General features: G+C 44.3%; 1 protein-coding gene across 3 annotated transcripts in view; it reads left to right on the top strand.

Moving 5' to 3' along the window:
- The window catches only part of PPM1H (protein phosphatase, Mg2+/Mn2+ dependent 1H), a 291,157-nt gene that overhangs the window by 132,014 nt on the left and 145,132 nt on the right, over positions 1-14,011 (top strand). For all 3 annotated transcript variants that reach the window (NM_020700.2, XM_011538578.3, XM_017019676.3), the window contains exon 3: positions 977-1,321. In NM_020700.2, coding sequence (NP_065751.1) covers positions 977-1,321 — 345 coding nt within the window. The remainder of the gene's footprint in view (positions 1-976; positions 1,322-14,011) is intronic.

The following is a 14,011-nucleotide window of genomic DNA, read 5'->3' as shown; positions in this document are numbered from 1 at the left end:
AGGAGATTTGAATTGGCTGCATCTTGTGAGGCCTGGGCTAGACTGGCTGTCTAGGGTGAAAACATGTTCTAAAAATTCAGGATGTAGACCAAGAAAGATGGGACAATTATCCCAGCATTTAAGGGCTCTAAAAGGGGAAAATGGGTCTACTTATTTCCCGTTGGAAAACCTGAGAAAGGGCGTTTTTCCAAGGCCCCAGATCAAACCTACTCTGGGGTTGAAATAGATGGGAGGTTCCAGGCACGGTGGCTCACGCCTGTAATCCCAGCCCTTTGGGATAATCTCAGCACTTTAGGAGGCCAAGGTGGGTGGATCACTTGAGGCCAGGAGTTTGAGACCAGCCTGGGCAACATGGTGAAACCCCATCTCTACTAAAAATACAAAAAAAAATTAGCCTGGTGTGGTGGCACGCGCCTGTAGTCCCAGCTACTCCAGAGGCTGAGGCATGAGAAGACTGAGGCATGAGAATCGCTTGAACCTGGGCGGTGGAGGTTGCAGTGAGCCTAGATCGCGCCACTGAACTCCAGCCTGGGCCACAGAGTGAGACTCTGTCAAAAAAAAAAAAAAGACGGGAGTTAAGGAGTTAGGTGTTCAAGCTGGACTCGTACAGACTTGTCTGTTTGTAGGAGAGTTTTATGCAAACACCTACACTTCAAATTAGAGTAGATCTCACCCTCCAAGTAGTAGCTTAGTGTATGATCATTTGGGCTCCCTTGCTAGGTGGGGAGGCAGAGACCGCTTCATCCTTCTGGTGCTAGTAACAACAATGGCTCATTTGGGGACCCTTCCCTGAGTGTTTTTTTTGTTTTTGTTTTTGTTTGTTTTATTTTGTTTTGTTTGCTATGTTTTGACCGCATTGTTTGCAGACGACAGACAACCAAGTGGACCCTCAGTCCCATAGATGTCCCACAATCTGTATGACCCTGAGGCAAAGTCCACAGCCGTTCTCACTCCTCCCTGTCGTCCTCTCCCACAGGAATCCGAGGGTGTTTCCTGCCACTATTGGTCGCTGTTTGACGGGCACGCGGGGTCCGGGGCCGCGGTGGTGGCGTCACGCCTGCTGCAGCACCACATCACGGAGCAGCTGCAGGACATCGTGGACATCCTGAAGAACTCCGCCGTCCTGCCCCCTACCTGCCTGGGGGAGGAGCCTGAGAACACGCCCGCCAACAGCCGGACTCTGACCCGGGCAGCCTCCCTGCGCGGAGGGGTGGGGGCCCCGGGCTCCCCCAGCACGCCCCCCACACGCTTCTTTACCGAGAAGAAGATTCCCCATGAGTGCCTGGTCATCGGAGCGCTTGAAAGTGCATTCAAGGAAATGGTAGGTATTCCTGGGAGTCTGGGGCAGCAGGGCCAGGCTGGCGCCTGCGCCAGGTCTGTCCGTCCTTCCTGGAGGGCTCCCAGAAAGCGCACGGTTTTGCTGCCTGGCTCCACCTGGACGGCCCCCTGTGATAATGGGGCTTCCATTCCCAATAGAAATTGGCAGCAGACAGAGTTCCTGGCATCAAGTGCTGGCAAAAATGTAAAAGAAGGCTGAGTGCGGTGGCTCACGCTTGAAATCCCAGCACTTTGGGAGGCCGAGGCAGGAGGTCAGGAGTTCAAGACCAGCCTGGTCAACATAGTGAAACCCCGTCTCTACAAAAATACAAAAATTAGCCGGGCATGATGGCCGTTGCCTGTAATCCCAGCTACTCGGGAGGCTGAGGTGGGAGAATTGTTTGATCCTGGGAGACAGAGATTGCAGTGAGCCAAGATTGCGCCACTGTGCTCCAGCCTGAGCAACAGACCGAGACTGCGTCTCAAAAAAAAAAAAGTAAAAGAAGATGAAAGAGGGGGACAGTGCATGAGGTCAGAGGCTTATTAAATACAGGCCTTATTGCTTTTATTTCCTATATTCATATTGATGCCAGCTGGTACGATTGCACTTAGATGTGAGCATGATCACCATCTGTTTTACAGATGTGTATAAAGTCCGGTGTTGGGGGAAACAGGGTTTAGGAAAGTGCTCAAAAGTCCCCATCCTATACAGATGTGATCTAAGAACGGCTGTTTTACCACAACTGGGAATGTGGTTCACACTGCAGACAAAGTGCTGGAGGAGAACAGAGCCAGGGGCCAATATCCAAGAAGTCTTAGTCTTACCCAGGCATGTGGATTTGTCTGTTCGTTTCCATCTGAATGGGTCTGATCGGGAGTTCATCATCCTTCGCTGTTGGCCTCACTCCTGAGCATGTCCTCGGGAGAGTGCCACAGCTCTCGCTGTCCCTTGCTGCCCCTCTGCCTGGCAGGAGTGCACATAGAAGCCGCCTCTGCTTTGTTCTATGCCAGCTCTTTCCCTCTGTGAGCTTACTTTATCCTAAGCCAATTATTTTGGTTTTAAAGATTTTATTTCTTGCTCGGCAGCCTGCATACAGATAAAGAATAAGAGATATTTAAGGATATTTATAAGGGCTTGAGTTAGGCAAGTGGGCAGTCATGGCCTTAAAACCTGGAGATTACAGGCCGGGCACGGTGGTTCATGCCTGTAATCCCAGCACTTTGGGAGGTCGAGGTGGGTGGATCGCAAGGTCAGGAGTTCGAGACCAGCCTGGTGAATAAGGTGCAACCCCGTCTCTACCAAAAATACAAAAAAATTAGTCGGGCGTGGTGGCACATGCCTGTAATCCCAGCTACTTGGGAGGCTGAGGCAGGAGAATTGCTTGAATACAGGAGGCAGAGGTTGCAGTGAGCTGAGATCATGCCACTGCACTCCAGCCTGGGCAACAACAGCGTGACTCCATCTCAAAAAAACAAATAAACAAAAAAAAAAAACCTGGAGATTACAAAGTGATGAGAAGCTGTTAAATGAAGTCAAAACAGCTAGAAGCGTCTTGCCAGAACCGGATAGGCACATGGTGCATGTTCCAGGATCTCACGGCATCAGGTAGTGTGCTAAGAAGGAAAGTAAATAATGACTATACATATCGTCATCTGATTTGTTTGTAAGGCAAAAATAGTTCATATATTCACCCCTCAAATTTGCATCCTCTTTTTATTTAAACGTGTCCCTTCTTTGGTCTCAGCTTTTTCTCTCCTTGTTACAGAGATAACATTTACCCTTTGACTAGCAGGTGGTTTAAAATGCACCTTGCTGGGCGTGGTAGTGGTGCATGCCTGTCATTCCAGCTACTCAGGAGGCTGAGGCCGGAGGATTGTTTGAGCCCAGGAGTTCTGAGCTGTCATGTGGGTTCAGTGTCAATGTGGTGACCTCCTTGGAGCAGAGCACCACCGGGATGCCTGAGGAGGGGTGACCTAGCCCAGATCAGGTTATATCTCCAGTGCTTTTTTGTCACTGTATTCCAGCTTGTGCAACACAGCAAAACCCCATCTCTTAAAAAATAAAATTAAGAATAAAAATGTAAAAATAAAATGCACTTCTATCTCAAGACTGTCTGATAGCCTGCAACCCTGCAATCCCAATGAAAATACCAGGAGGCTGGAAAAGATTATTTAGGAAAAAGGGAATTAAGGTAGGAAAATTGACTCCCACTCAGTCGTGGTGTAAAATCTCACTCTCTGCCTCTGTAGAGGCTCTGATGTCAATAAATGTTTCTAGACACTAATACTCAGAATGCCAAGTATTGAATTTATTTTTTTAATTATTTAGGCAAAAATTTGACAATGGGCTCTCCTTGTAATGTAATGTAATGTAATTCAGTTTGCATGGTAGAAGTGAAAAATAAAGGAAACGTTGAGATTTTCATTTCCTTCAGTTGTGACTAGTGCCACAGGACATCTTTTACCTGGAGCTGCTGCATTCTCAATTTTGTCCACTAGAGGCCAATGTCACATTGACTCAGGACTCCACAGGGGTCTCAGGCTGTTCCTGCCCATTAATGGCTCAGGGTTGCTCTTAACAACTGTGCTGGCAAAGAAAGGTTCATTCAGAAAAATACTTAAGAGGCTCATTTTTAAAATATTTCTACTTTTAATGAACCAATTCATTACCTCAAATTTTTCTTGGAAACTTAGTCACCAGCAAAAACAACAATTGTTTGCTTCATTTTCATGTGTAATTCATTCAATCAGTAATATTTGTTGAGAACCAACTAGAAGCCAGGCCTGACTGGGAAAAGAATATTGAGCCGATTAGGCAAAGAAGGGTGTTAAACAAGTAAAATATAAATGGGAGGAGCCTTGAGAGGGGAAATACAGGGTGATGCAGGAGTCTGGTAAAGAGATGAAGGGAAAGGTTCCCTGGGGAGGTGATGCTGGGGTGTGGGGGCTCAGGAGTAGAGCAGACATGTGCAGGGCAGGGTTGGGAGAATGAATGCCCTGGGGCTCAGGAAACCTGGGTAACAAACCGAGCCTGAGAAAAAACCCAGGTAGGCCAAAGCCAGTAAGCCACCATTGCTGTGGTGGGAAGATAGATCTTAAATGTAGCAATGGCAGGTGAATGAGGAGGAAGGCTGGAGTGCCCCTGTGGAGACCCAGGCCCAGATGTGCCATATCATGAACCTTTAGCTTTAAGCTATGTCTCTTCCCTGTTTGTTCCTTTCAGGTTTACCCCCATGCCCTAGCTTCCTCTTCACACTTTTTCCCCCCAGATTGTCTGTCTAGGTCCCCAACCTGCCTACAGCTTACCGGGGCTTTGCACTGTGAAAGGAAAATAAAAACTGGGCCCCCAATCCACTATGGAAATTGGAAATCACTAGGAAAAAAAATTAAGCTGAAAGCTGAGTCGTGGAAGAAACTGTTTCCTTTTGTTCCTAAGCAGATACTACAGATGAATGGTTGAATATCTCCACAGGTAGCTACTCTGTGTTCACCTTACCTCACGCAAAGTGTTGATTTATTGATTTCCAGAGCCCCAGACTATCCCCTACCTGCTCCTTTTCTCTTGGAATATGTGGATGACCATACCCTCCCTCTTTCCCCTCCGGCCCACTTTTCCCCTTTAAATACTGAAGCCTTCAAATTCATCTTTGGAGAAAGGTACAGACTACAGACTGTCTCTGTGATCTGTGTTTTTTTTCTTCCAGGCATGTCCTTACCCTTGGCAAAATAAACTGAATGGATTGAGACCTGTCTCAGATACCTTTTGGTTTACAGCACCTTTCTGGTTGGCCTTATTAAGTGAGAAGCTCACCATTCTTTGGTTCTCATGGCACCTGGAAGGGTGGCCATACCTTGTGCTTTGCTGGGGACTGGGTCAGTGGGTGCCTGCTGTCTTAATTGTTAATACTCTCCCATTTCACTCTCAGATGTGACCTTCTTTGGAATGATAAGTCTTCTGTTTAATCACAGATGCTCTTGTTTTTCTTTGCGTCATCAGAGATTTCAGAGAAACTACACTCCTGTTTCATAGAAACAATGCCTGTCTTAACCTTATCAAATTGCTTAAGGTGAGCTTCAGAATCCACAGCACAGAAATTATACCAGCTTCAAAATAATAGCTGGAAGGCCATTGCCAACTCCTTTTTCTTTCCTCCCCCTCTCAATATTAGGTTTTTGAGAGTCATTGTCTTACCGTGTAAACCTTTGGTTTTTTGAAATGCCCACAAGCGCCACGGTGTGCCAGGCAACCCGAGGACAGTTCACACAGCTGTCTATAGCAGGACAGCTTTGAATTTTCCAGATCATTCCTAAACTTTTTTTTTCACCGCAGTAGCCACCCACTCTCTAATTTTCCTGTTTCTAGATGTCCTTTAGGTATTGCGGGTTTTGTGCCATTGATTTTCTATAATAGGAAATTCAATATTAAGTAAGAGTTGTCATATAGGCATTTCAGCTTTGTGGCTCTCTTGCCTTCTCTTCCACTTTTAATCCCTAAAAGTAAAGTTCCCCAAGCCTTGCACCTAAGCCTCTAATTTGCCTCACTGATGACATTTATGCAGCTGTCCCTCTGGAGATTCTGAGTGTCACAATATCCTTAAAAGCAGAGCTTCTCCTTCACTGGGAGTTTTTGCTTTATTTATAAGAGCTCAACAATGTGGAATCAGAATTCTTTGGACTCTCTTTGTTTCTGTCTACCTGCTTGTCTGTCTCCATCTGTTTGTCTTGTCCCTCAATGGAATGCTGTGATATTATGATATTCTGTCTTCAACTCCATGTCCTGACATACAACTCCTAAAATCCTTGAAATCTTCAAAGTGATAAGTATCTTTTTGTATCCTAATGAGATGACTGGTGGCTGGCAGCCCCTGGGTAGCTTCTGGATGGGGTCTGTTCATCAAAAAGACCAAGGCAGGATTAGAGGGCTGTGCAACTAAGTAGAATCACACAGTAAACTGCCGTTGATAATGTAGATGTCAGGTGTATTAATGTGAATAAAATGAAAGAATAGCCTAATTTAGATTTGCCCCAATAATTTGTGTGTGTGTGTGCGCGCACACGGGTGCACGCATCCTCAACCTCATGAGAGGGGAGAAGGGCTGAAGGGTGAGTTGATCACCAACAGCTGATGATTTAAACACTCGTGCCTATGTAATGAGGTCTCCATAAAGGCCCAAGAGAATAGGGCTCAGTGAGCTTCTGGGTAGCTGAACATGTGGAGGTCCCTGGAGGGTCACGTGCCAAGTGAGGGCATGGAAGCTCCACACCGTATGCATCTCTTCATCCATATCCTTTGTAATATCCTTTATAATGAACTAGCAAATGTAAGTAAATTTTTCCTGATTTCTGTGAGCCACTCTAGCAAATTAATCGAACCTTAGGAGAGGGGGGTCTTGGGAACCCAGATTTATAGCTGGTCAGTCAGAAGCACAGGTAAACCAACCTGGGGCTTGCGACTGGCATCAGAAGTGGGAGTCAGTTGGGGGACTGAGCCCTCAACCTGTGAAATCTGATGCTATCTCCAAGTACATAATTGTGTGGAATTGAACTGGAGGACGCCCAGCTGGTGTCTTCTGCAGAACTGATTGCTTGCTGGTTATGTGGGGGAAAACTCTCACACATTTGGTCACAGAAGTCTTCTGTATTGGTTGTTGTGGGATGAGAACAGAGGAAAAACAGTTTGTGTTGTTTTCACTAAGAACTGCTCTTCTCAGTCACTAGTATTTATTGAGCTTACATCTTAAAATCAGTATTCTTTTAGACACCACTGAGGAAGTAAAACATAAGATCTTATGGTCAGGCACTTTGGTCCACACCTATAATCCCAGCACTTTGGGAGGCCCAGGTGGGCAGATCACTTGAGGCCAGGAGTTCGAGACCAGCCTAACCAACATGGCGAAACCCTGTCTCTACTAAAATTATTAAAAATTTAGCCAGGCGTGGTGGTACATGCCTGCAATCCCAGCTACTTGGGAGGCTGAGGCATGAGAATCATTTGAATTCCGGAGGCAGAGGTCGCAGTGAGCCGAGATCACACCACTGCACCCTAGCCTGGGCAACGGAGCGAGACTCTGTCTCAAAAACAAAACAAGGCTGGGCGTGGTGGCTCACGCCTGTAATCCCAGCACTTTGGGAGGCCCAGGCAGGTGGATCACGAGGTCAGGAGATTGAGACCACGGTGAAACCCCGTCTCTACTAAAAATACAAAAAAATTAGCTGGGCGTGGTGGTGGGCGGTAGTCCCAGCTACTCGGGAGCCTGAGGCAGGAGAATGGTGTGAACCCGGGAGGCGGAGCTTACAGTGAGCAGAGATCGCACCACTGCACTCCAACCTGAGTGACAGAGCAAGACTCTCTGTCTCAAAAATATATATATATATATATTTTATCTGGGGGCATTTGTAGTCCCACATTATATGAATATAGAAATATGCAATATCTTATTTATTTTGATATTCTAAATAACAAAAGGAGGTAGTGAAATGTTGACACCTTTCCAAAAGGGATACACTGTTAAAAATGTTCAGAAACACTCAAGTCAAAATAAATAGTACCTATTTCTGGGGAAAAAGTAGGTACTAGTCACAAAATACAGACGAACAGAAGAGAAAAAAATGCTTCCAATGAGGGGAGATGGTAACAGTTTCATCAAATACTATAAGCTTCTTTGAGAGCAGTGCTTTTCATCTTTGGTCCTCGGGTTGCCTGGCACAGCTTGGGGCTTGTGGTGAAGGTGACCTATGACCACTGGTTTTTAATACTTACTGTGTACACTGTCAGAGGTAGGTGTGCCCCTACAACCCCCTGATTGTATCTCAGATCTTCCTTCATAGTGTGAAGGCTATGTAGCGAATCCCTCCTGTGTCCACTATGAAAAGTGAGCCATGGCTTCCTAAAGGACCAAAATCTCAGGAATTTTCCGACTGACTTCAATTCTGCTTCCCAGCAAGGCCTGGCTTAGCTCTGTTTTGTCACCTATTATATTTATATTGTCGCTTGGCCCAGGACAATAGGTATAAATAAGACAAGTGTCTTCTAAGTCCTGATTTCAAACCTCCTCCCTACTTCTCCACCCTCCCAAAAACATGGTTGAATAATCAACATTTCAGACTCATGGAGGAAGTCGATTCCACTGCAGGGTTAGTTACAGGAAGCCTTTGCCCTCCTAGGGATCAGAACCAAGTTAGCAGTGATTACCGTTTTAACCTGTTAACTATGGGATTTGAGCTCTGGACATAGCCGGGAGGATCTCAGAGTTCTATTTCCTTTTAAGAGTGGGTCTAGATTCCCCACCAGAGTCGGTTCTTAGGAAGGGAAGAAAATGGCAATATTTTAACTTATGGAACTACTATATGTAATTCCATCACTGGGTAAATGATTGGAAATACCAAGCAGCTAGACTTTGTTGATAAAAACCTTATAAATACATGGTGACATTGTGACAAAAAGGGGGCAAAGTTTATAGTTTAGAAATCTATAAATTAGTGTTTATAGATTAATTATAATAAATAAATTAGTGTTTTCCAAAATTAGCATGTTAATGGTAAATTGGGAACCCACATAGCTGTCTTAAATTTAAGTTGGTTTTGTTCTCTTTGTTTTTGTTAGAACGGGAAGTTTCTCTAGGAAGGAATGAGCATGTGATTCCACCAGCAGCCGGCAGGTGGCAATAGTAGGCAGTAGAGTGCTGGCTTTTCTTCCCCATTGCCTGGCTGGCAGATGGCCTTGTTCTCAGAATAAACTGGGATCAGATTTGGATACTAAAACCATGCAGAATCTGATTATTTGTGACTGACACTATTAGCAATGTGCTCAGAGCCGTGTTTTAACTCAGCTAGGGGGAGCTGCCAGGTCCTATTGAAACTACCCAACACTTGCTCCTTTCTGCTACCAGATATTGCTTTCCTTTTGCAACCTGAAATTGGTAGGAAACAAAGAATGACCTTGGAGTTGCATCATCTATGAGACTTTCAAACCAAATTATTACCATCCCGGGCAATATTTTTCTCTTGCACTTCTTTCCTGCTGAATTAGTCTCATTGCACACACATCTCTGTTTGCCTTTTTTTTTTTTTTTTTTTTTTGAAACGGAGTTTCTCTCTTGTTGCCCAGGCTGGAGTGCAATGACGCGATCTTGGCTTGGCGCGATCTGGGCTCACCGCAACCTCCACCTCCCGGGTTCAAGCAATTCTCCTGCCTCAACCTCCCGAGTAGCTGGGGTTACAAGCATGCGCCATCACACCCGGCTAATTTTGTATTTTTAGTAGAGACGGGGTTTCTACGTGTTGGTCAAGCTGGTCTCCACTGCCCGACCTCAGGTGATCTGCCTGCCTCGGCCTCCCAAAGTGCTGAGATTACAGGCGTGAGCCACCGCGCCCGGCCCTCTGTTTGCTTTCTCGGCTCCCGTTTCTCCTTGCAACAAGGAGCAAAATAAAATCCCACATCTTAAAAACTGGATCCATTGTTTGATTTAAAGATTAACCTCGCTTAAATGTTGTGTTTAAGCAGACACAACAGAAGATAACTCAGTCCTGCTACCTAGAAAGTTGCCCTGCAAGGTCTTCAGGACTATTGATTAAGCAGATAAATCAATTATCTTGTTAATTGAATCTTAAGAGTCATTTAATCGATCCTTTTAGACCATACTTGAATGATAGTATATGCATGTGTTTTGCTAATCAGTTTATTCTAGACACAGGGCTCGGGGTTCATTGACAGCAAAAATAGGGAGATATTCTAAATCAGTCCTTGCTTAGCACAAAGCAGTAAGCAGTTTTTCCCGTGGTTTCATTGATTTTTGTAAAAATACCAAAAACTTGAGGTTTTTAAGAAAATACTTCCATGTTTTTATTTATTATGTAGAATATTAAAAACTTAATCTAATCTGAAAGGTGAGGATTTGAAGAAAAAAGGTAGATAATGCAATGGTAAATGTATCTTTATTGACTTAATATATCATGTTTGCTCTGATAGTAAAAGAACCACCCAGATGGTCCTTTAATGTTCCTTTCAGTACTAAGATTTTGTGAAACATCTTTTAAAGAGGAGTAGGTGGTGTATGTAGGGAAAAAATAAATGTGCTATTTTGGCTTCTAGGGAGGAGGGGGAGGGAAGCAATTATTTTTAGAATATGTTCTAGTTGCACACGGTTTTAGAAGAAATAGAAGAGTGTGTTTTAACGACAGTGAATCCTTCAGGGGGATGAAGTCTATGGAAACACGTCTTTCAAATCCTTCCCACCATGATCCCAGAGAGGACACTTGTAATTAAAGTGTGTGTGTGCACATGTGCATGTATGCACACTTATGTTCCCACACAAATGTGGGGGAGGGAAGTGGCAAACGCATGCACATGTTAGCAAAGTTTCTTGGATTAAAAAGTACTTAAGTTCACTCTTTATGAGAAAGTGCTGCCAAATTTAGCATTCCTTATTCAGGGGGAGCTACAGAGGGAATGTAGCTGAACGTAGAAAAAGGTGAAAGAAATAATGAAATCAGTTAGAAAAAAAATATTGAGTCACACTATTAATATAATACCAAGGGGTTAAATGGGTAAGCTAACTGGAATGTTTCCCCCAAAGTTAAAGCAGAAAAGTTTTAGTGCTGAGCTCTTTACCTTGATTTTTTCCCCTAAGCATTACATAATTTTCTAAGCAGAATTTCTTGTGATAGAAACCATGATAAATAATGTACCTACCTGTGGTGTAGCCCGAACTTGCTTAACTGAGTCCCAAAGGAATTTGTTGCCGTGGACGGCCCTGTTACGTGGACTTTTTGCACCATAACGTTTCTACCTTTTGGATCATACTAGTGGTTTGATCAAGTCTATCAAACAAACATCATTCACATTCTAGTCTATAGACAGTATACAAGCAGTAGGTGTTCAGATAATTTTTTGAGATGAAGTCTCGCTCTGTTGCCCAGGCTAGAGTGCAGTGGTGTGGTGCGATCTTGGCTCACTGCAACCTCCGGCTCCCGGGTTCAAGCAATTCTCCTATCTCAGCCTCCCAAGTAGCTTGGACTATAGGTGCACACCACCATACCCAGCTAACTTTTTTTGTATTTTTAGTAGAGACAGGGTTTCATCATGTTGATCAGGCTGGTCTCAAAATCCTGACCTCAGGTGATCCACCTGCCTGAGCCTCCCAAAGGGCTGGGATTACAGGCATGAGCCACCACGCCCGGCGTTTTCAAATAATTTTTAATAAATATTGTCTTTCAGCCTTTTAGGTATTCAAGCAAATATTGATTCTGACAGTGAAAAAATAGTCTCTGTAGCTGAGCAGTTCCTTTTGATGTATTGGATGCAGACTCTTTATCAACTTATATAATTCAGTAAAATATGTATCTATCATAGTATCAACTTTATATGCGTTCTTTAAATGCAAAAAAAGTAGCAATTCCATCCACAAACCCCTTAGTAGGGTTTGGGGTTCTGTTTTTATGGGTTTTCTTGGAGGTTAAACAGGCATCTTGATGTTTTCCTTCTCCTCTCTTCTATTTGCTTGAGATAATTCTTCCCACCTGACACCCGTGCCCCTCCTCCTCATCCTCCAGCCTTCTACCAGTCTTGTGTAGGTTCTGATAACCATTCTTGGCAGTCAAGCATTTTAATTGAAGCATGGGTTTCTGCTTAATTATTATCTCAGCGAGCGTTGGCATTGTAAGCTTTTCATTTGTGAATTGTGGAATCCATTTTTCATATTAAGGCAGAGGTAAGGGGAGAGGCAGATAAAAAAAATTTAAAATTTATTTCTTCATTTGTCCATTGAACAGATATTTATTAAACTACCATTTACCTGGCCTAACCTAGGTGTTGAGGGTCTAAGATGAGCAAGAAAGGCCACCGCTCTCAATGTTGAAGCTTCTGGGCTGCGGGAAGGGTCCAGATATCCTACTAAGCCCCTCACACATGCCAGCTAATTTAGCCTTACGACAGTCCTTTAAGAAAGCTAATTTATACACAGTTGAAGTAAATGTTAAAAATCCCACATAGTCCTTTGAAGTTTGCCCCATGCTTGATGCTTCTGCAGCTTTTGCTGCTGCTGTTCACTCCCATATTGAAGTGTTTCCTCACTTGTTTATAAACCACTACATCCCCCAACACATATTCCTACCTCCTCCCCGTGGCTCTCCAGTTCCCCTCCCGCAATCTCTTACCCAGCTCTCTCCCAGTGTGTTGGTCTCTCCCAAGTCCTGGCTTTGTGTTTTTTCTCTATTTACTGGTTTTTGTTGTTATTTTGTTTTTGTTTTTGAGACAGGGTCTCGCTCTGTCACCCCGGCTAAAGCACAGTGGCATGATCATGGCTTACTGCAGCCTCGAACTCCTGGGCTCAAGAGATCCTCTGTCCTCAGCCTCCCAAGTAGCTAAGACTACAGGCATGTGCCACCACACCCAGCTAATTATTTTTTATAGAGATGGGGGTATCACTATGTTGCCCAGGCTGGTCTTGAACTCCTAGCCTCAAGTGACCTCCTGTCTCTGCCTCCCAAAGTATTGGAATTACAGGCGTTAGCCACCGTGCCTGGCTTCCATTTGCTCTTTAACCAATATGATATCCCTAAGCTCAAGCTCTTCTGTTTCCAGTTTCCCATTGGTGATTTACCCTTTTTATGTTACCATCTCTGGCCCCTAGAGCAAAGCAGTTGCTGGTAAATGCTGGGGTCTTGACTTCTCTCCCCCTTTTCCATGAGGAGTCTGGTTGAAGCAGCTGAGCTCTAACTCTGTGGGATTCTCAGGATTACAATAGTGGCCTGACCCTAGATCTGCCAACAACAGCATCAACGTCACCGTTTCTTCCTCTTCCTGTAATTTTTAGCCAGCCCTCATTTTCCTTCCCTCTGCACCAAAAGTAGTAGATTACCACTGGAAGATTTGGCATTATTTTAGCCAGGCATTCAATGTATCTTACTAACACAGATTTTTCTGAGGTAACAGAACCTTTGCTTCTATCGCTAACACAGAATTTCACAGGTATCTGTCTTGATGATGCCAGTGTTGGTCTATTTTTAATATCAATTCCTTGGGGAGGCCTCATTAGGTGGCAGGTAACAACACAAACTTTGGAAGAGAAGCAGGTTGGAATCCAGACTCTAGCCAGGTAAATATGGGCAGGCTACCCCACTTCTCTGCAACTAAACAATGAGGTTCATAGTGATGGTCTTGAGGACGATATGAGAGTTTGAGTATAAAGTGCTCAGCACACTACGTGACGTAGAGAAAGTTCTCAATGAATGTTTCTAATTATTATAAACGTTTTACCATTGTAAATTGGTGGCTGTGGGAAGAGGAAAAGTCAGGTCAGAGTTCAGAAGCCCTATAAGTCATTTGAAGTCATTTAAGTCATTATAAGTCATTTATAATTTATTTAAGTCATTTTAAGTCATTTATAAGTCATTGTAAGTCTTTGCCCTATAAGTCATGGCTTGACTCCTGCCTGTGTTGAATAGAAGACATCTTTCTGTAATTTATCTGTAAAAGAGACTATTTATCCAAGACTTTGGAGTTTAAAACATTGATCATATCTGGGCTGGGTATGGTGGCCCAGTGCTTTGGGAGGCTGAGACAGGATTGTTTGAGGCCAAGAGTTTGAGACCAGCCTGGGCAACATAGTGAGACCCTGTCCCCACAAAAAATGGAGGAGTTAGCTGGGTGTGGTGGCTGCACAGACCTGTAGTCCCAGCTACTCAGGAGGCTAAG

The sequence above is a fragment of the Homo sapiens genome, chromosome 12 (assembly GCF_000001405.40).
Source record: "Homo sapiens chromosome 12, GRCh38.p14 Primary Assembly".
In the NCBI taxonomy this organism is placed as follows: domain Eukaryota; kingdom Metazoa; phylum Chordata; class Mammalia; order Primates; family Hominidae; genus Homo; species Homo sapiens.
The sequence above is the reverse complement of the archived record's forward strand: the minus strand, read 5'-3'. Positions and strand labels throughout refer to the sequence as shown.